Source organism: Homo sapiens, chromosome 11, assembly GCF_000001405.40.
Source record: "Homo sapiens chromosome 11, GRCh38.p14 Primary Assembly".
In the NCBI taxonomy this organism is placed as follows: Eukaryota; Metazoa; Chordata; class Mammalia; order Primates; family Hominidae; genus Homo; species Homo sapiens.
Genome location: NC_000011.10, coordinates 10,385,580 through 10,405,125, shown reverse-complemented (window position 1 = coordinate 10,405,125; position 19,546 = coordinate 10,385,580). Strand labels below are relative to the sequence as shown.

At 47.2% G+C, this 19,546-nt stretch overlaps 1 long non-coding RNA gene and 1 pseudogene across 1 annotated transcript in view, besides 2 other annotated features; one reads left to right on the top strand and one right to left on the bottom strand.

Annotated features, from left to right (window-relative positions):
- The window catches only part of CAND1.11 (uncharacterized LOC100130460), a 122,361-nt gene that overhangs the window by 25,548 nt on the left and 77,267 nt on the right, over positions 1-19,546 (bottom strand). The gene's annotated exons all lie outside the window — the stretch shown is intronic.
- On the top strand, positions 5,809-5,934 carry RNU6ATAC33P (RNA, U6atac small nuclear 33, pseudogene; annotated as a pseudogene).
- Positions 11,933-12,812: an enhancer, noted in NCBI's record as "H3K27ac hESC enhancer chr11:10413861-10414740 (GRCh37/hg19 assembly coordinates)". NCBI's record gives its function as "activates a minimal SCP1, AML or CMV promoter by ChIP-STARR-seq in primed H9 embryonic stem cells {active_cell/tissue: H9 hESC(primed)}" and the evidence as "EXISTENCE:reporter gene assay evidence [ECO:0000049][PMID:30033119]".
- Positions 17,410-17,704: a silencer, noted in NCBI's record as "tiled region #7754; HepG2 Repressive non-DNase unmatched - State 22:ReprW". NCBI's record gives its function as "represses a minimal TATA promoter and a strong SV40 promoter by Sharpr-MPRA in HepG2 cells {active_cell/tissue: HepG2}" and the evidence as "EXISTENCE:reporter gene assay evidence [ECO:0000049][PMID:27701403]".

The window sequence follows — 19,546 nt, the reverse complement described above, 5'->3', positions numbered from 1 at the left end:
ATAGCCATGGATGCAACCAAGTGTGGATGGAAAATATTCGAAAAAAAAAGTGGCATCCATCCTAAACATATAAAGACTTTTATTCTCTTCATTACTGCCAAGAAATAGAGTATAACAACTATTTACATAGTATTTACATTTTATTAGGTATTATCAGTACAGTTAAGCATCCATTAACAATGGGGATATGGTCTGAGAGATGTGTCTTTAGGTGATTTGGTTGTGCAAACACCACAGAGTGTACTCACATAAACCTAGATTGTATAGCCTACCACATACCTAGGCTATATGGGATAGCCTGTCGCTCCTGGGCTACAAACCTCTACAGCATGTTCTATACTGAATATTGTAGGCAACTGTAACACAATAGTAAGGATTTGTGTATTTAAACATATGTAAACAAAGAAAAGATACAGTAAAAATACAGTATAAAAGACTAAAAAATGAACAAATGGAGCTTGCAGGACTGGAAGTTGCTCTGGGTGAGTCAGTGAGTGATCAGTAAGTGAATGTGAAGGCCTAGGACATCACTGCGCACTATCGTAGACTTCATAAATACTGTACAATGAGGCCACACTACATTTGTTTTAAACGTTTTTTCTTTCTTCAATAATAGATTAACCTTAACTTACTGTAACTTTTTTACTTTGTAAACTTGTTAATTTTTGCAAATTGTGACTCTTTTGTAATAACATTTAGCTTGAAACACATAGTATAGCTGTACAAAAATTCTTTATATCCTATTCTATGAGCTTTCATCTATTTTTTATAAACTTTTTTTTTACTCTTTAAAATTTTAAAACTTTAAACTTTTTTGTTAAAAACGAAGACACAAACACACACATTAGCCTAGGCCTGCACAGGGTCAGGATCATCCATATCACTGTCTTCCACCTCCACATCTTGTCCCACTGGAAGATCTTCAGGGGCAGTAACATGCATGGAGCTGTCATCTCCTATCCTAACAGTGTCCTCTTCTGGAATACCTCCTGGAGGACCTCCTGAGGCTATTTTACAGTTAACAATTTTTTATAAGTAGAAGGAGTACACTCTAATGATAAAAAGTATAGTATAATATAGTAAACACACAAACCAGTAACATAGTCATTTATTATCTTGTCAAGTATTATGCACTGCACATAATTGTATGTGCTATACTTTTGTGCAACTGGCAGTGCAGTAGGTTTGTTTACACCAGAAACAATGTGAATGGTTGTTTATCATCACAACATGTAAATGATGCATTGCACTATGATTTTATGAGGGCTACGATGTCACTAGGCAATAGTAATTTTTCAGCTCCATTTTAATCTCAGGGGACCCCATTGTATATGTAGCCCATCATCGACTTAATCATCATTGTGTGGCACATGACTGTAATTGAGAGATGATTAAAGTATACAGAGGATGTGCATAGGTTATATGCAAATACTGTGCCATTTTATACCAGGGACTTGAGCATCCTCAGATTTGGGTATCTGTGGGAGGTCCTGGAACCAATCCCCCACGGAAATCAAGGGACAATTGTACTACGTTCCAGTGTTCAGTTCCGTTTAATCTTCATTCTGCTCTGCTACATTTTCAACCTCTGCAGGCCAAAAGCCCTGAATTCTCTGCCTAGCCCTCTTTTGTCCAAGTAGAGACCCAGAAGTCCATTTGGGGAAGAGCTGTCAAAAGGTTAAGTCATATCCAGGAGTGGCAGCTTGTACGGCTATGATGGACATCAGAGGGACACAGGATTTCTCTCGCCTTTATTTCTAAGTAGACCCCTTTCAGAAGCACCCTCCACCCCAGATGGGTTTTCCAAGTCCCAGTCCTGATGTCTAACTAATCCCTTTTCCCTGGACTATGTGAGCTGACTGGGCTACAGAGCTAGGCAGTAACCAGCCAAATCTCCTCTTAGTCACAGATACATGTGGCACAACAAGGCAGGTGCCTCGGTGTCCAGGTGGACAGGTTCTGTTCATACCTCATTTGGAATCAAAGAGCAGCTGTCTTGGGCCCCCAGGCTGTTGGTCTCTAGATCAGTGGGGCCCCCATTAGATCCCACACAAGATGGCAGTCATCAACAATTGAGCTCCACCGAGTTCCTGTGGGACTGAGGTCTGATGATTTCTTGAGGGCTCTTCCCCTATCACATTGATCTTTCTGAAGACGAATTTTATCATCGGTTATGTGTCAGGTAGGACTCTTCTGGTTGCAAGTGATTTTTTAAAAATTCTAACTGGCTTAAGCAAAAAAGGGCACATGAAACTAAAAAAGACCAGGGACAGCCAGCTTCAGGCAAAGCTTTACACTAGGCTCAAAGAATGACATTGCCCAGTCTAGCTGTACCTCTGCTCTGCTCTGTCTCTGTTGGCTTCAATCTCAGACTTTACATCTATGGAAAAATGGCTACCAGCAATTCCAAGCTTCATCTTCCCACATACATGTCCAATGGGAAAAGAACAAGTCTCTTCCCCAATGCTCAGGATCAATTCCTGGAATTCACTCAGAAAGACCACTCTTGGGCCATGTACCCATCCCTGAACTAATCACCACAATCATAGTGATGGAACAGGATACATTCCCAACACATCCAAGCTGTGCTCTCCTCTAAAGTCTGGCCACCAAGGCAGCAGCAACCTCAAGTCCCAATTTCTGAGTCAAACCAACCTGCCCATGTCCACTTCCAGGTCTCAGCTTCTACAGAACCCTTTGTCCTCCCATCTTTTTTTTTCCCTGGGCTGTCCACCCAGAGGCTACCTCTCTGAGCCTGTTGGCCAGCTGGCCCTCCCTGGTTCTTGAAATAACCTACTCCTCGGTGCCCTCTCTTCCACCTCCAAGTTTAGGCCTGAACTCAGGAACTGGAAAATCGTCTTTCAAAACCCTGTCTGTTAGCACCAGGCAGCCAGAATTCCTAGAGAAAGACAGAGCTTCCCTGTGCTCAGATGCCCAGAGTGTGCCCCTGCCAGGGTGCCTGGCACAGGAGACCAGCTGGGGTTCCAGATGAGGCATGTGAAGAACTGGTAAGACAGAGGGCAGAACAAGAGCCATTCAGGAAACAAAACCTCTCATCCAGCTTCCTCCTAGATGGTACAGACTGTGAAGGGCCTTAGATACTGTGTCAAGGAGCTGAGACTTGACCCAACAGGAGGTGAAGAGTAGTCAAAAGGCTTGCTGGATGCGTGAATGGATGAATGAACACACAAACAAGTAACCTCAGCTCGGAGATGGAAAGTGACTTGCCCCATATCACATAGGAAGCAAGTGGCAGAAACAGGACCAAACTCCAGGCCTACCTGTGCCCATCCTAGGGCTCTAGTATCAGCCCAGGCTGCCTCCATCTCAACAGGGCAGCCTGGGAACCCTGGAGATTGTCAGCCACTTCTCAGAGGCTCCAGACCTGGGCTTCTGAGCTTGGAGCAAAAGCAGAGTCCTGGGCATTAGAAATGTGGACACTGGGAAATTTTAGGAAGGCTCGAGCTAGTGCCTAAAGTTGAGGCTGGGGATTTCGAGTAAGACTGAATTCTCTGTGAGGTAGAAGAGTGGCAGAGGGAGCCTGCCTGAAGCTCAGCTGCTCTGGGAGAGTCCAGCCAGACCCCCAGAGGGCAGCCCATCCCTGACAAAGCCCAGAACTCAGCAGAAGGGGACCACGACTCCTGGGGAAGAGTTGCGGGGAGATGAGGGGTGTTATCTTTGGCTTCCAAAGGCCTTGCCAGTGTTCCTGCTGAGCCTGGCACTTTGCCCCAGGAAACAGAGCTGTAATTTAGAGACAGCAGGGACTGGGATCCAGGGTGGAGGGGAAGAAGCCTTCTGGCCCTTGGTTTGGGGAGGCTGAAACTACTTTAGGGCAGGATAAGTCAGGATATCAGAGGTGAAGAAAGATCCAGAATTTTCATGAGAGCAAGAACTTTGCTGTCTGGCTCACCATTGTATCTCCAGTGCCTGGAACAAACCCTGACACATAATAGGTCCTCAATAAATATTTGTTGAATTAATAATGAACCCTTGCTGAGGGTGAGGGAGCAATTTTTCACTTCCTTTTGCTGCCCACAATTTCCTCTCTACTGGATCTCCAGCATATAGTAAAAAGTCTGTGTGGAGTCAAGTCAGCACATTTACAGTGGTTGGCTGAGGACTTTCTGTGCCCAGAGTGGCTGCACATCCCAGCTAGAACAGTTCACCCTTAGCTCCATCAAACATATTTGATGGATACAAAAAGTATGAGGCTGGAAATCAAGAAATTTAGGTCCTAGGTACGGCCCACTGTTTATCAGTGACAGATGTGAAAAAACTTTCAGAACACCTTCACAATTAATTCTCCTCTTGTTATGCCCATTTCGTAGATGTGAAAACTAAGTTGAGGCTAGCACTAGATCACACAGCCTCGGAGTGGCAGAGCAAGCCTGACATCCCAGGAACTTGCAACTATCAGCAGCTTCTTTCCCCTCTCTGTGCCTATTTTCTCACCTGCATTATTGAGGTTTCCAAAGACAGTCCCAGATCTCCTATGGTAGAGGCAGGGGGCGACTGTCCAAGCACCCCACCACGCCCACTAAAGGCTGGTCCAGCTTAAACGTACTGCGGAGAGGGGTCCACAGGGCAAGATCAGGCCACAGTGGGTGTCTGGGGCTGCTTGGGCCCAGCACGTCTGAGGCCATCATTTGTTTGGATCTTTCTATTACCCTTTCCTGGAACAGAGTAGAAGACTGGAAAGGACTTTTCAGGAGAAGTGAGAGGTGAGGTTAAAAAGGCAGGAAAGAAAGAAGAGGGAAAACAAAGGTAGAGAAAGATACACTAGTGGCAAACAGGTACAATAAAAGATAAATCAAAACCACAATGCAAATCAAAACCACAATGAGTGATCACCTCATACCTGTTAGGCTGGCTATTCTCAAAAAGACAAGAGATAACAAGGATTGGCAAGGCTGTAGATAAAAGGGAACCCTTGTATAATGTTGGTGAGAATGTAAATTGGTACAACCATTATGGAAAACAGTATGGGGGTTCCTCAAAAAGTTACAAATAGAACTACTGTATGATCTGGCAATCCTACTATTGGGTATATACCTAAAGGAAATGAAATCACCACCTTGTAAAGATAGCTGCACTCCCATGTTCATCGCAGCATTATTCAAAACTGCCAAGATATGAAAACAACCGAAGTGTCCATCAAGAGATAAATGGATAAAGAAATCATGATGTATATGTATAAATATATGTGTGTATATATATTTCTTTGTGTATACATAAACATATATATGTGTGTTACATATATTTATATATAAATGTAAACACACACAAAGAAATATTATTCAGCCTTGAAAAGAAAGCAATCCTGCCATTTGTAACAACATAGATGAACCTGAAGGACATTATGCTGAGTAAAATAAACCAGACACAGAAAGAAAGAAAAACACTGCATGATTTCACTTACACATGAATCTTAAAAAAATTGAATACATAAAAACAGAAGAATGATGATTGATGGGAGGGACTGGACAGATGTAGGTCAAAGGGTTGAAAGATGTAGTTGTATAGGATGAATAAGACTAGAGATTCAACGGACAGCATGAGGACTATAGTTAATATTGTATTGCATACTGGAAATTTGCTAAGAGCGTAGATTTTAGGTACTCTCACCAAAAAAAGAAAGAAAGGTAACTATGTGAGATAATGGATATGTCAGTTTCCTCGGCCATAGTAACTGCTTCGGCTACGGATAGAAAGAAACTACTGATAGTTGCACAGCAAGTTCCTGCCTATGTACATTATGCATACATATGTACATTATGCATACATATGTACATTAAAACATCATGTTGCATGTTTTAAGAAAGGAGGGAAAGTTAGCACTCCCCTTGACAATGACGGAAGAGACCCTGCAACCTGACAGCATGCATGCAGTTAAGGCATCGCCACCTACTTCAAGGCAACTAACCATCCTTTTTAAAAACACAAAAGGTTTGGTTTGAGGGAGCTTCCTGGTAGCTGAACACCTGAAGGCTCCTGGAGGGTGGTGCATCCAGAGAGGGCATGGAGCCCCTCGCCTCTTCCCACATCTCTTGCCTTAGGTATCTATTCCATCCATCTGGCTGTTGTTCATCTGTATTCTTTGTAATATCCTTTATAATAAATTGGCAAACACTTTTTTAAATTATGTCCTACACTGGCTCCTTTGTAAACCCACTGGCAGGAGTGTCCCACTCAGGACCTAACAGTTCAATATCCATAGCAGGGCTGCAATCAGCTGTACCAGACTCAGGGGACCCATGGATGACAGACAAGCCTGTCCCCCAGGAAGTCCAGTCTCCTGGTTGGGGGTGGGGGTAGCAAGCACACACAGTCACCAGCAATCCAGCCTGCAAAGTGCTTTGAGGAGGCAAGCCCAGGGGCTGTGAGAGCAGGGAGGAGGAAGTGACTGGCTCTGCTCTCGAGGTCACAGAAGGACGAGAGCCTGGGGCGTGACACCAAGCACGTGTGGGAAGGAGGATGGAGTGTTCTAGCCCCAGGGAAGAGCATATACAGAGGCACTGGGCATGGTCACCCTGAGGAAGCAACTGTTCCTGTGGAATGCCCCTTAGTGATCTCAGCCTCCATCCTTCCCCTGATTTCCCTGCTTTTGCTTAGCCTACCTTTGAGACTCTGCACGCCCTCAGCCTCTGACCTCTCCCAGTTCTCCTCCTGCAGGGGCCTACAGTCCGCCATGCACCCTCTGGCCTCCCTGACTTTCAGTCCTCTCTTCCCTGATCCCAAATCATTTGCCCACAAGGACTTCAGGAGAGTGTCTTCCAAGAGAAGCCTGGCCACACTGCAGAGTCAGGCTGTCCATCTTCCAGGGAGCCTTCCTGTAGACCCTCATTCAACCCAGGTGTCTCCCCACTTCTCTGGCCAACAAGCTACCCCTCTTTTCTCCCCTGAGCCCCCAAAGCCTCTTCTGCCAAGCTCAGCATTTCCAGAATAGCCTCTCTCTGTAGCAACAGGCAGTGGTCATTTAGCTTCCACTCCCTCCATTCCTCTTCCTTCCACTCCAAATCCACACTGTCTCATCTCCCATTCTTTCCTCCTGACTCTCCCTCTCCAGCCTTACCCATCTCCTGTCCACGCTCCACCCAACTATGAGAGAGGACTATCTGATACACAAAGTTGTCCATGTCACCCATGCTTAAGATGCTTTCTAACTCCCTATCATTCGCAGGGGTAAATCCAGACTCCTCAGATGGCATTTGAAGCCCCCCACACTCTCTCCAGGGGCATTCTGTACCTGTCCCTCACACACCCTAAGATCCAGCCCCTTCCTGCTTCTTGGCCTATCCCGACCTGCCCTGCATTTTATCACATCTGTCACATCCTGAAGCAGCTGCAAGGTTGAGAAAGGCTGGATGCTGGTGATGACTCAAGACTGGAGGGAGAGGGATTAAGCATTGGGCGCTTCACCCGCAGAATAGCAGTCTTGGCATTTTGGGGGTCACCTACCTTTTTTTAGTGTCTGTTAGAAGCCATAGGTCCCCTTCCTAGAAAAATGAATACCATAATGTACCTAAGCACAAATTTTATACCACATTAATGTACCTAAACACAAATTTTATACCACATGTCTGGGAAGTTACAGATCTTTCCCTTGCAATCTGATATGGTTTGGCTGTGTTCCCCCCATCAAATCTCATCTTGAATTATGGTTTCTGTAATCCCCCCGTGTCATGAGAGGGACCAGGTGGAGATAATTGAATCATGGGGGCAGTTCCCCCATGCTGTTCTTGTGATAATGAGTGAGCTCTCATGAGAGCTGATGGTTTTATAGGGAGCTTTTCTCCCTTTTGCTCGGCCCTTCTCCTTGTTACTGCCACGTGAAGAGAAGGATGTGTTTGCTTCCCTTTCTGCCACAACTGTAAGTTTCCTGAGGCCTCCCCAGCCCTGCAGAACTATGAGTCAATTAAACCTCTTTCCTTTATAAATGACCCAGTCTCGGGTATGCCCTTATAGTGGCATGAGAACGGACTAATACACAGTCCATCCATGAACCCAGGTTTTAAAAGTCCTGCTCCAGAGAGCAAGCAGGAACTGTGGAAGCTGGCCTAGCCATGCCTTGCTGGTCCTTGTGCTACCAACATCCAGCATGGATCTGAAACTGAGTTGGTGTCCATAAGAACTTGTGGAACTGAGCTGAATTCAACAGAAGGCAGGAACTGCCTCAGAGAGAGAGGAGCCATGGGCTCAAGATACAAGGAGAGCTGAGAAGCTCAGGTAGAACTCCCCGCAGGTATAGCTCATGGGGTTACCATCCAACGGTGAGCTTGATGATAAAGGAAAGCAAGTGAATTCCAGGCAGCCACTGGGAAAAAGTCGCCCTGTCCAGGTTTCAGCTCAGGTCTGCCACTTTGAAGCTGGCAGCAGTAGGTGACCAGGCCTGACCACATCCCTGCATACCTAAGAGGCATTACAAACCCGATTGCCCACCTTCACCCTCCACCAGCTGTTGCTTCTCCCATCTCAGTTAACCAAAGCACCATTCAACACATTGCTTAGATAAAAACCCAGGAATCTTCCTTCATTCCTCTTTCCTTCATCTGCCACATCCAATTCATCAAAAAGGCCTGTCATTTTAGCCTCCAAAAATGCACCAAATGTATATTTTCTTCATCTGCGCTGTTGTCACACCGCTCCAAGCCACCATCATCTCTGGCTTGGGTGACATCTCCAACAAGGCATCCTGCTTCCACTCTTTCCCTGTGTGGTCCATTCACTACATGGCAGCCAGAGTGACCTTTTATAAAATGTGAGATTATAGCATTCTACCACTACAGACTTTCCAACAGCTTCCTTGAAATTAGAATCAAGTCCCAGGATCCTAACCATGACCTGCAAGACCCCCACGACCTGGCCCCTCTCTTTCTCTCTGACCTCACCTCGTGTGACTCTCCCTCTTTCACTGTGCGCCTAGCAAACGGCCTTCTTTCTGGCTCCCAAGAAGTTGCATGCTCAGGGCCTTTGCGCTTGCTGACCCCCCTGCTCCCCAGATCTGTGCATGACTGATTCCCACGCATCCCTCATTCTCAGTTCAAATGGCACCTCCTCAGAAAGGTGAGACCCCATCATTACCAATCCCATTGTCCTGTCTTATTTTCTTCATAGTATTTATCACGGGCTGAAATATTTTTGTTTATTTGTTCATATGATTGACTGACTTCCAACTGGAATGTAAGCTCCATGTGAAAAGGGACTGATTTCTCTCTTTTTAGTCCTGGAGCTCAGAATAAATGAAGTGACAAAAGGGAAAAACTAGGTATGACTCAGGGCCCCGGGGATATGGGTTTGGGGTAAGGATCAGGCCAGGGCAGGGCCAGAACAAGGCAGAATAAGGGGCTTGGGCACCCCCGCCCAGTCCTTCCTGATGGGGCCCCACTGCTCACTGGTGTGACTTGCCACAGGAGGACTCCACCAGAGGCATGAATGAGATAAGGCACCTTGGCAGCTCCTCCTAATTCTAAGAGACTGCAGCTACTGGACTGTTCACCAGCATGTATATTGCTGCCAGGGTGAGTCCCCGGGATAGTTATTTCTATGCACTAGGCTATGGTGGCCAGTTGTTCAATCAAACACCAGTCTAGACATTGCTGTGAAGGTGATTTTGGCATGTAATTAACATTTGAATCAGTAGACTTTGAGTAAAGCAGATTACACTCCATACTGCCGTGGGCCTTAGCTCATCAGTTTAAGGCCTTAAGAGCAAAGACTGAGAGTTCTTGAAACAGAAGGAATTCAGCCTTAAGACTGCAATATAGGAATTTCCTGAGTTTCCAGCCTGCCAGCTTTCCCTACAAATTTCAGACTAGCCAACCCCACAATCATGTGAGCCAGTTCCCTAAAACAAATTCTCTTTCTCTCTCCTTCCCTCTCTCTCCCTCGCTTCCCCCCTCCCCCTCTCTTCCTCCTGTATGTATGTGTGTATCTATATACTCGATAGGATATATATCCAATAGGGTGGATGGGTAGATATCTTACTGGTTCTGTTTCTCTAGAGAGCCCTGACTAATAATACACTCCTTTCCTCTACTTCATCCTCAGAGAAGGAAGTAGCCTGAGGTGTCTTCCAGGGAAAATCAAATAAGAGTGAGGTCACTGTGAACATCCCAGAAGTGCCATGGCTCTCTTCTCAAACATGAAGAGCCCCAGGGTACCAGCCTGTGCATCATCCTGCAAGCCTGTCCTGCAATCCTTCCAGGAATAGCCTGGCTTGTGGCCTAATGCTCAGGCGGTCCCCTGACTGATGAGATAATACTATCAGAAAATGAATCTAGTTTTAAAAGAATGTTGATAAATGCAGCAAACACGCACTCAACAGATTACATATCAATGCTAAAGAGTGACCAAAGCCTCTCTTCTCGTCAGATGTAGTCATTCATTCACCCACTCAACAAATATTTATTGAAAGCCTGCATGTGCCAGACATTCTTCTAGGCATCGGGAATGCAGCAGCAAACAAAACAGTGACATTCAGGCAGAGAGAGATAGACAGTAAAGAGATTGATACAGAATATGTTATGTGGTGATGATAAAGAGCTACGAAGAAAAATTAATCATGGTAAGGCGAGTGGGAGTGTGAGTGAAGAAAGTGTCTAATTGATGTGGGGTGTGTAGAGAAAGCCTCTTTGTTAAGGGAGCCTCTGAACGGAGGCCTAGAAGGAGTGAGGGAGTGAGCCAGGCGGCACTGTGCAAGAAGAGCGTCCCAACAGAGGGCCCAGCAGATGTGAAGCCGCGTGGCATGGCACGCTGGCATCTTCCAGGAACAAGGAGGCCAGTGCAGCCAAAATAGAGTACACAAAAGAGAGTCCAGGAGAAGGGGTGGGAGGCCAAGTCATAGAGGGTCTTAAGTCCATGAGAAGAACTTTGGATCTTACTGAGGAAGTCGGAAGGCCTTTGGAGTTTTTGTCCAGGGGAGGAATACTAACTCCATAAAACTCATAAGAGGTAGAGAGAAAAGAAAGGGGCAGGGGTGGTTTTACTTCCAGCACTTCTGTGCCAGCCACTCCTAGGCCACATATGCCCCAAAGAGGCCTCCGCGATTGAATTTTCAACAGCTGCTGCCTTGCCTCCCATTTATGTTGCCTCATCCATACAGGACCAGTTTTAGCTTCAGGGTGACACACCTAGGGGTGGGAGAAGGGTGATGGAGGGAGGAGGACCATCGGGGCCACACTGACCCCCATCTCCACAAGTTTATGCTGCTGCTTTCAATGCTGCTTCCTCTAATCTTTTTTCATCATTATCTTAATAACTGTCGTGCCACTATACCACCTCGAAAACTGTCTTCCAGAAATGTCCCATGGAGACAGTGGCTCCCCCTTTCCTGGCCCTCTGGAGTGTTGATCCTCACCCCAGCCCTCCTCTTTCATGCTCAGGACCACAGCCCTGTGGCTCCAAAAAGGACCTTCTGGGTCAGTGCACAGAGCACTTAGAAGCACCCTTGCCCCTTCCTCACTTACTTCCTGTTCCTCCATCAGCATTCTACAGCTCTGGCCAACACCAACAGCCTCTACTCAATACGGTGCTTCATTCCACTGTGGGAGGGAAAGTGAGGAAATAAAAATATGACAAAGGAAGAGAGAGCTGAGAGAGAAAGCCAGAGGAGAGGAGAGGCACGATTCAGGAAGGAACTGCTGAGACACTTCACCCCTGAAGGAGCTCAGGAATCACTACATCTGGTAAGCAGGGACAAGGAGCTCATCAGAAAAGACTCTGCTTCCTCAAGTGTGTCCTCTAAAGCCAAGAAGAGTGGCAGCAGGAATCTCCATGGTAGGGGGAAGGAGGTCCCTGAGGTCAAGTTGGGAACTTTTTTATTTTATTTTATTTTATTTTTTTGACATGCAGAAGGGTTCAGCAGGTAAAGGGAAAACTGTACCTATCGAAGTCCTATCCTTTTCACAAGTACCAGCCCAGATGCCCCAAGAAAACAGCCCACATCTCCAAATGGGAATGAACATCTCCCTCCTTCTCTATCCCAGAGAGCTCAGCCATAGAGAATCCAGAGCCCTAGGCAGGAAATATTCTTCCTGGCAGCCAGAGAAGCATGTCGTGTTCTCCTGCCACACCAAAATGACATTTTCTCCTCCCTTTCCAATTCTACCTTTCCTGCCTTGAATATTAGACTGACTCAGTGCCCCTGTTCCTCCACATCACGTGATGCTCTGCGTGGGTTTCTCAGGGGTGAAGGGTTGACTCAGCCTGGCTGCCTGAACCCACTTTCCAGCTCTCTGGCCCGCGGCACATCCTCAGCATGGCCTCCACACCACAAAGCAAGATGCGCCCTCTCTGCCTTCACTGCATTCAAATCCAAAAGAATTTTTCCATGATTTGTCACTTTCAGAGAGGGCTTACATAAAGAGTAGTTGTTTCCAGAGCAAAGCAAAGAATAATCAATGGAATTTAAAACAATCCTAAGAAAGGCCAGCCCCAGTGGAGCCAAGAAAGTTCTCCTGCCCCAGTTGAATCACTATTATGCACAGTCCTGGCCCTGCAGGAACCCAAGAGCCCTCATATTGGAAGGGTATTCCAGGTCCCCCACCCCTGATGCCTTTACTCAAGTCTGTTTGAAAGACCTTAGCTTTAGTGCAAGGCTCCCAGGGAAACAGATAAGAGGGTGTCCCTCCTACCTTACCTATTCTCCATATGCTGACAATTCAGCTTTCGCTCCAGCCCAAGCCTCTTCTGAGTTCCAGTCTCATTTATTCAAGTGCCTACCTGACCTTCGTGGATGTCTAACGGAGATCTCAAACTTAACATGCTCAAATCCGAACTCTGGATTTCCTCCCTGAACTCGGAAGCTTCTCTGCTTGTGATCTTCATATCTCAGTTAAAGACACCACTATTTGTGGGGAAAAGCAAGAGAGATCAGATTGTTACTGTGTCTGTGTAGAAAGAAGTAGACATAGGAGACTCCATTTTGTTATGTACTAAGAAAAATTCTTCTGCCTTGAGATTCTGTTAATCTATAACCTTACCCCCAACCCTGTGCTCTCTGAAACATGTGCTGTGTCAACTCAGAGTTAAATGGATTAAGGGCGGTGCAAGATGTGCTTTGTTAAACAGATGCTTGAAGGCAGCATGCTCCTTAAGAGTCATCACCACTCCCTAATCTCAAGTACCCAGGGACACAAAAACTGCGGAAGGCCGCAGGGACCTCTGCCTAGGAAAGCCAGGTATTGTCCAAGGTTTCTCCCCATGTGATAGTCTGAAATATGGCCTCGTGGGAAGGGAAAGACCTGACCGTCCCCCAGCCCGACACCCGTAAAGGGTCTGTGCTGAGGAGGATTAGTATAAGAGGAAGGCATGCCTCTTGCAGTTGAGACAAGAGGAAGGCATCTGTCTCCTGCCCGTCCCTGGGCAATGGAATGTCTCGGTATAAAACCCGATTGTATGCTCCATCTACTGAGATAGGGAAAAACCGCCTTAGGGCTGGAGGTGGGACCTGCGGGCAGCAATACTGCTTTGTAAAGCATTGAGATGTTTATGTGTATGCATATCTAAAAGCACAGCACTTAATCCTTTACATAGTCTATGATGCAAAGACCTTTGTTCACGTGTTTGTCTGCTGACCCTCTCCCCACAATTGTCTTGTGACCCTGACACATCCCCCTCTTCGAGAAACACCCACAAATGATGAATAAATACTAAGGGAACTCAGAGGCTGGCGGGATCCTCCATATGCTGAACGCTGGTTCCCCGGGTCCCCTTATTTCTTTCTCTATACTTTGTCTCTGTGTCTTTTTCTTTTCCAAATCTCTCGTCCCACCTTACGAGAAACACCCACAGGTGTGGAGGGGCAACCCACCCCTACACTATTCACTCAGTTTCTCAAGCAGAAATGTGGCAAAAGTACATGAAGTCTCCCTTGCCCACCACATCCTACTCTATACCCCAAACTTGTCTCCAGTGCTGTCCCATCAAATTAAGCCACCCATCATCCCTTGGCTAAAAGACCAGCAGTTCCTTGCTTCCATGTGACCCCCTCTCCAATCTATTTTCCACGTAGCAGCTAGAGCAATCTTTTAAATCAGATCACATCAATTTCTGCTTTAGCTCTTTCCTTTTATAACTTCCTCACCAAGGCCAAAAAGCTGTGCATGAATATGTCTCCTGCCTTCTTCCCTGGTCTCATTTTATGCCACTTTCTCATTTGCTGTACTTCAGCCACATCAAGCTTCTTTCCAGTTCTGGAACATGTTTCCTTCTCCACCTCAGGGCCTTAGCACTTTTTGTTTTCTGTTCTCTGCACATTTTTTTCCCCTATGACATCCTTCAGATCTTAGCTTAAAGGTCACTTCCTCAGAAAGCCTACTCCTAATACCCTTCCTAAGTAGGTGCCCTCATAATTTGTTGTCATTTTCTTTTGCAGTCTTATTCTTTATATAACATTAAGCCAATTAGCAGTTGACAATTAATTATATGTTTACATGTTTATTGCCAGTCTCCCTGCCATTGTCTGCTATCCCCATAAGAATGAGCCTAGACTGGAGACATATTAGCAAGTCCAGCTGGAGACAGTCCAGGTCCTGCCAGACAGAGGCAGGGCTTGAGGCAGACACAAGGCTCCTTGCAGGAAGAAACCATGCCTGAGTTGTTTACACAGGACTTGGCAGATACATTTATTAGATGACTGGATGGGTGGATGGATGGGTGGATGGATAGATGGATGGATGGATGGGGGAATTTCAGCTGTGGGCAAAAGGCAATAGAAACCATGTCTGAGGAATGGGTGGTGACTGAACAGAACAGACCCTGCACTAGCAAGAATTCTATAGTCCCAAGTTCAGAGAAAATGTCATTTTAGCACCTAGATGAGAAAGAGATTAGGATAAGTCAGGCTTGCATGTGCTCAGGTAATACCTGCCTGCATCATGACAGGGAGAATTAAAACCAAAAAATAAAGAATATATATAGTCTGACTTTCTCCTTCTTCACTTTGGCCAGAGTTGCCTTGACTCAGGTTAATCACATGGGTTGATGAGCTGATGCGGGATGACCCATAATACTCTGGGAGATGTCTACATGAGGAATGTGATCTTGCAGTCAGTAACCCTTACCAGTACATGAGGAGATCTACTCACTGGGGGATGGGCTGCTGTCAATGGACTCCTAATGACCTTTGCAACCAACAGAAGGGAGACAAATGGAAAGGAGAGAAGACTCCTGGGCATGGCTCAGTGGGACAGGAAGCATAGCCCATGCCAAGTGTCATTAGAATGGGCTCATGGAGAAAGAATGTAGGGCCAAGGAGAAGAACAAAGAAAATGGAGAAAGCCTCCTCACTAACCCTGAGCCACAGGTTCCAGCCCAGCTGCAAAATGGGCTGGTAAACTGTTCAGAGGTCATCCCTAGTTGACATCACTATTAAAGATAGCCAGGCCAGTTGGCAGAGATGATAGAGATGGGAGGTAACATGAAGCCAGGTGAAGGTTCATCACCATGCCCAGGGTTCCCTTCATCAGTGGCTGGAGGAATGGGCCAAAGTTTATAAGCAGGTATAGAGCCCCAGGAAGGCTTAAAACGTGGGTAGAGACCCACAGGAAGGGTTCAAGGAAATATAACCAAGTGAACTAGGAAGAAAGACCAAGGCGAGACCCCAGTCCTATGGATATACCAACACAGCAAAGCAGGAAGCCCAGCCTGGTGCTACCAGCAGGAAGATGACTCCAAGCCCCATGGAATGGGATTGGGGCTGTTTTCAGTATTGGCTCAGGCTCCCGGATGGGCTCAGGCCTGGAAGTGGGAACATCAGTGACTCCAGGCATGAGGTGCTGGAGAGACAGCTGCAGGGACAGCAAGGTGCACACAAAACTGACAGCATCTTGAAAAACATAAGTATCCCTTCCCACACCAAGATGGTGGAATGAGGGAAAGCGTCATTGTTCAGCAGGATTACGGATGACCAAGGAGACACCAAATGTCCTACCCCTTATAGTCCTTTAGGAACTGGCTCTCTGGCCTGCCTTGGGGACCCTCCTCTCCAGCTTCAGAGAAAGGCCTCTTCCCCTAACACCATTTTATGACTCAGTGTGATTCCTTAGTGTGAGGTGAGACTCAGGAGAGAGAGGCTCTTCCTCCCTGCCCTGCCTGGGCCTTCCCTACATTCTGTCTAGGAAGCAACCTTGGGGTAAGGAAGACCATCCTTGGTAAGGGCCCATCCTTCCCCCAGGATCCTGACACCCTGTGAGAGGTCACCCTGTCCAGGATCTATGACACACGCCTTCTGATAACCTCCCCAAGGGTTGCAGCTAGCCACACCACTGGTGTTTGGCTCCCCACTCGTTCCAAGGCCTGCCAACAAAATCCTATTTAATCAACACTGCTCGTTCTGCAGCTGCTCCCGAGGGGAAACCACATAGGCACAGTCCATTTCAAAACTGTTGGCTCCACATCAGGACCAGCGGAACAGAGTGTGGAAAGAGCACTGGGCTGGGAGTCAGGAGCCCTGGGTCCAGCCTTACTCTCACACTAATGGCTGGCCCCCATTTCCCTGTCCTGTCTCCCTCACAAGGGTGGAGTCACATCAAAGAAGCAGCTGTCTGTGACTTGCAGTTCACTACTAAACACTTTCTATAAACAAGAACCCCCAGGCATGGGACCTCAGGGTGGGCTCCTCTTAGCCATATTCATACATGTGACTCTGACCCCCTAGCCACCTCTGATTTTACCAATAGTGAGCCTGTCACCTGCCAGAGCTAACTAGCACCTTTACCCCAAGGAACTTGGAGTGGGGGAAGAAAGAGAGAGAGATAAAGAGGCTCATGTGGACTCAGGAGCTGTAGGGCAATTGCGTTTTCTGCCACACTGTCTGAAGATCAGAGAAACCTGTTCTGCAAGGAGAGAGAAACATGAAACAAATACTCAAGACTTGCAGACGGAGATGCAAAGAGAGCCAGTGGACTTTTAGTTCTGGTTTCCAGGTCTCCCTGAAACCTGGCTACGCCTTTTTTTAAGCTGGCTTTTAAAAACGAGTCTCTCTCGGATCCCAGGTCTCCAGACAGCTTCAAAGTGGTGAGCCCTGACAAGCTATCAGGGTCCCACTCAGCAGTCCACCTGTGTGATGCCTGTGTGTTCGGGCATCTCTCCTTGGCTGCACTGTGCTCGAGCAAGCTGGGCTCAGGCACTGGTCCACACCTGTGCTTCACCCCTGCCCCACAACGCAGCCCAGTGTTTCAGCCAAAGTAGGTGCTCCGTCAACTGGTGTCAGGTTAAGACAGAGAAAATCCAAAGACATCATTCCTCTGTGAGGCGTGTTCCTCAGAGCCAGGCCAGGCAGCAACTCCCTCCCCATGCAAGGTTGTCCACAATAAATCCATGACCTGCCCAAGCCCTTCCGGCTCTGCAATCCATGGCCCTGCATGAGCCCAGAATTCAGCCCCTGATGCAGCCAGCCCACAACTTCCCAAGTTTTATTTTCATTAACCCAACTGGAAAATTGGACTTCACTCAGGATTGTGCTGAAAACCAGATGCTGGAGCTGGGCTCTGGTTTCCTAGATAAACACATTGCAATAATACGCATCTACCCGTGAGATGCTCTGTGTGGCGGCACATGGCAGCACTCCAGAAGAAAGAAAAACAATGTCAAAGCTTCATTTGAGGCTTCTCACTCCCCTTCCTGGCCAGCGGCTGGCCACATTTTTTGTTGGCCCCACTGCAGGCCAGCTCTCTCTCTCTGCTGGCTCCCCTCGCCCTGTCCCTACCTCTGGCCCGGAACTTTACAGCTTCTAGAAAGAACTTCAAGCTTTTCCCAATTGCCGTGTCTGGATCCAGCCCTTTTCCTCTGCGTCCCCACCGTGCCCTGTGTCGACCCCATCCTAGCAGCGGAAGACAGTGTTGCAACTGTTGGGGTTGTCTGGCCCCTCCAGAGGGCTCCAGCACAGTCAGTGAACATAGTTCTTAATGTTGGTAAATGGATGAATGAAAGTGAGTCACACCAGAGGCAGTGGGTGGGGGACAAAGTGGGTTGCACATATGAAGGAGGCACGGGCTTCAGGGATGTCGTTGAGGGCTGATTTCCTACAGCCCGAGTATTTTCATTCACTCATCCAAGGTTCACTGAGCTTTCCCCTTGCAACAGACCCTGTGCTTAGTGTGGGGACAGGCGGGATTCTGACACATCCCTGCCCTCAAGGGGTCCGCCACCTGGGAGAGGAGCGGTGGTAGCATAATGAGGTTTCCTGTTCCCCTTGCCCACTTCTTCCCAACATATAACCCCACCATTCTTGTAGTGAAGGTTTGTCTCTAGATAGTCACCATAGAGTGGCAGAAACTCTGTTAGCATAAAAACCACAAGCTATGGAAGGCAATCAATATTAGAAAGAGAATGACTTGGGTTTTGGGGCGTGAGAATTTGAGACAGTCTCGCTCTGTCACCCATGCTGGACTGCAGTGGTGCTGTCACAACTCACTGCAGCCTCAACCTCTTGGACTCAAGCCATCCTCCTACCTCAGCCTCCTGAATAGCTAGGACCACAGGCACATGCCACCACACCCAGATAATTTTTTACATTTTTTTAAGAGACGAGATCTCCTTGTGTTGCCCAGACTAGGCTTGAACTCCTGGGCTCAAGCGATCCTCCCTCCTTAGCCTCCCAAAGTGCTGGGATTGAGAAAGACTTGTTTTATGATGCTCCTCTGACTATTTTGAAAGACGTTAATTCCTGAAGACCTCAGGATGTGATGCTATCACTCTATAACAGAGTAGGAATCCAAGGGGAGGCCAGGGAGTGCAAAGAAACGGGGTCATAAGGGAGGCAAAGAGGGCAAAGGGAACACCGATTTGCCTATCTAAGGCTGCTGCTATATGGACCAGTGGATGATTTGCTGAGAAAATTAACTGCTTTGCTGCACCCTTTAGACTCCACAGGTATACATGAATCCCTGACAATCAGAGGTGTTAGAGCTGTGTACAAGAATAGTTAAAGAATTCCAAGATACTTCCAACGGGGCATAATTGGGAATGGCACAGGAGCCTGTGGAGCATAAAGGAAGGGAGGGCTTCTTAGGGAACCCATGCCCTCATTCAGGCATGTACGCTATGTGGCATTTGGCTTTGAATCCTGCTGTTGTCCTTCTCGCTTATTTCCTTGGCCTCTCTGGACCTCAACTGCTCCAGGTGGATAGTAAAAACCCCATTGCATTGTGCAAGGGGGAGAGGCTCATGTCAGGAAAGATGAGCACATGGATTCACAGAGCTGCCAGGGAAATCACAATCACAAACCCAGCTGTTGTTGTCAGGGACATCTCTCTGACGAACTCACAGCTCACAGAACTGTGGCTCTGCTCCAGTCCGTGTGGTGTTTCTCTCTGCTGAGGACAGTCAGATCCCAGAGAGGAATTCAGTTGCTGCCCGCTTTCCTGGCCCTTGGCCCCCTCGGTTACTGAAGGGTGGTGGATCCTTAGGGTAATCCAGGGAACAGGTCACATCTCCTTCGAGGAGAGTAGGGAGGGCAGAGCAAATTTCTTAGCAACTTCAAAGCCTGACGTAAAAGCAAACAAATACCAAAAAAGGTTTGGTTTAGACAATAACATGTCATCTA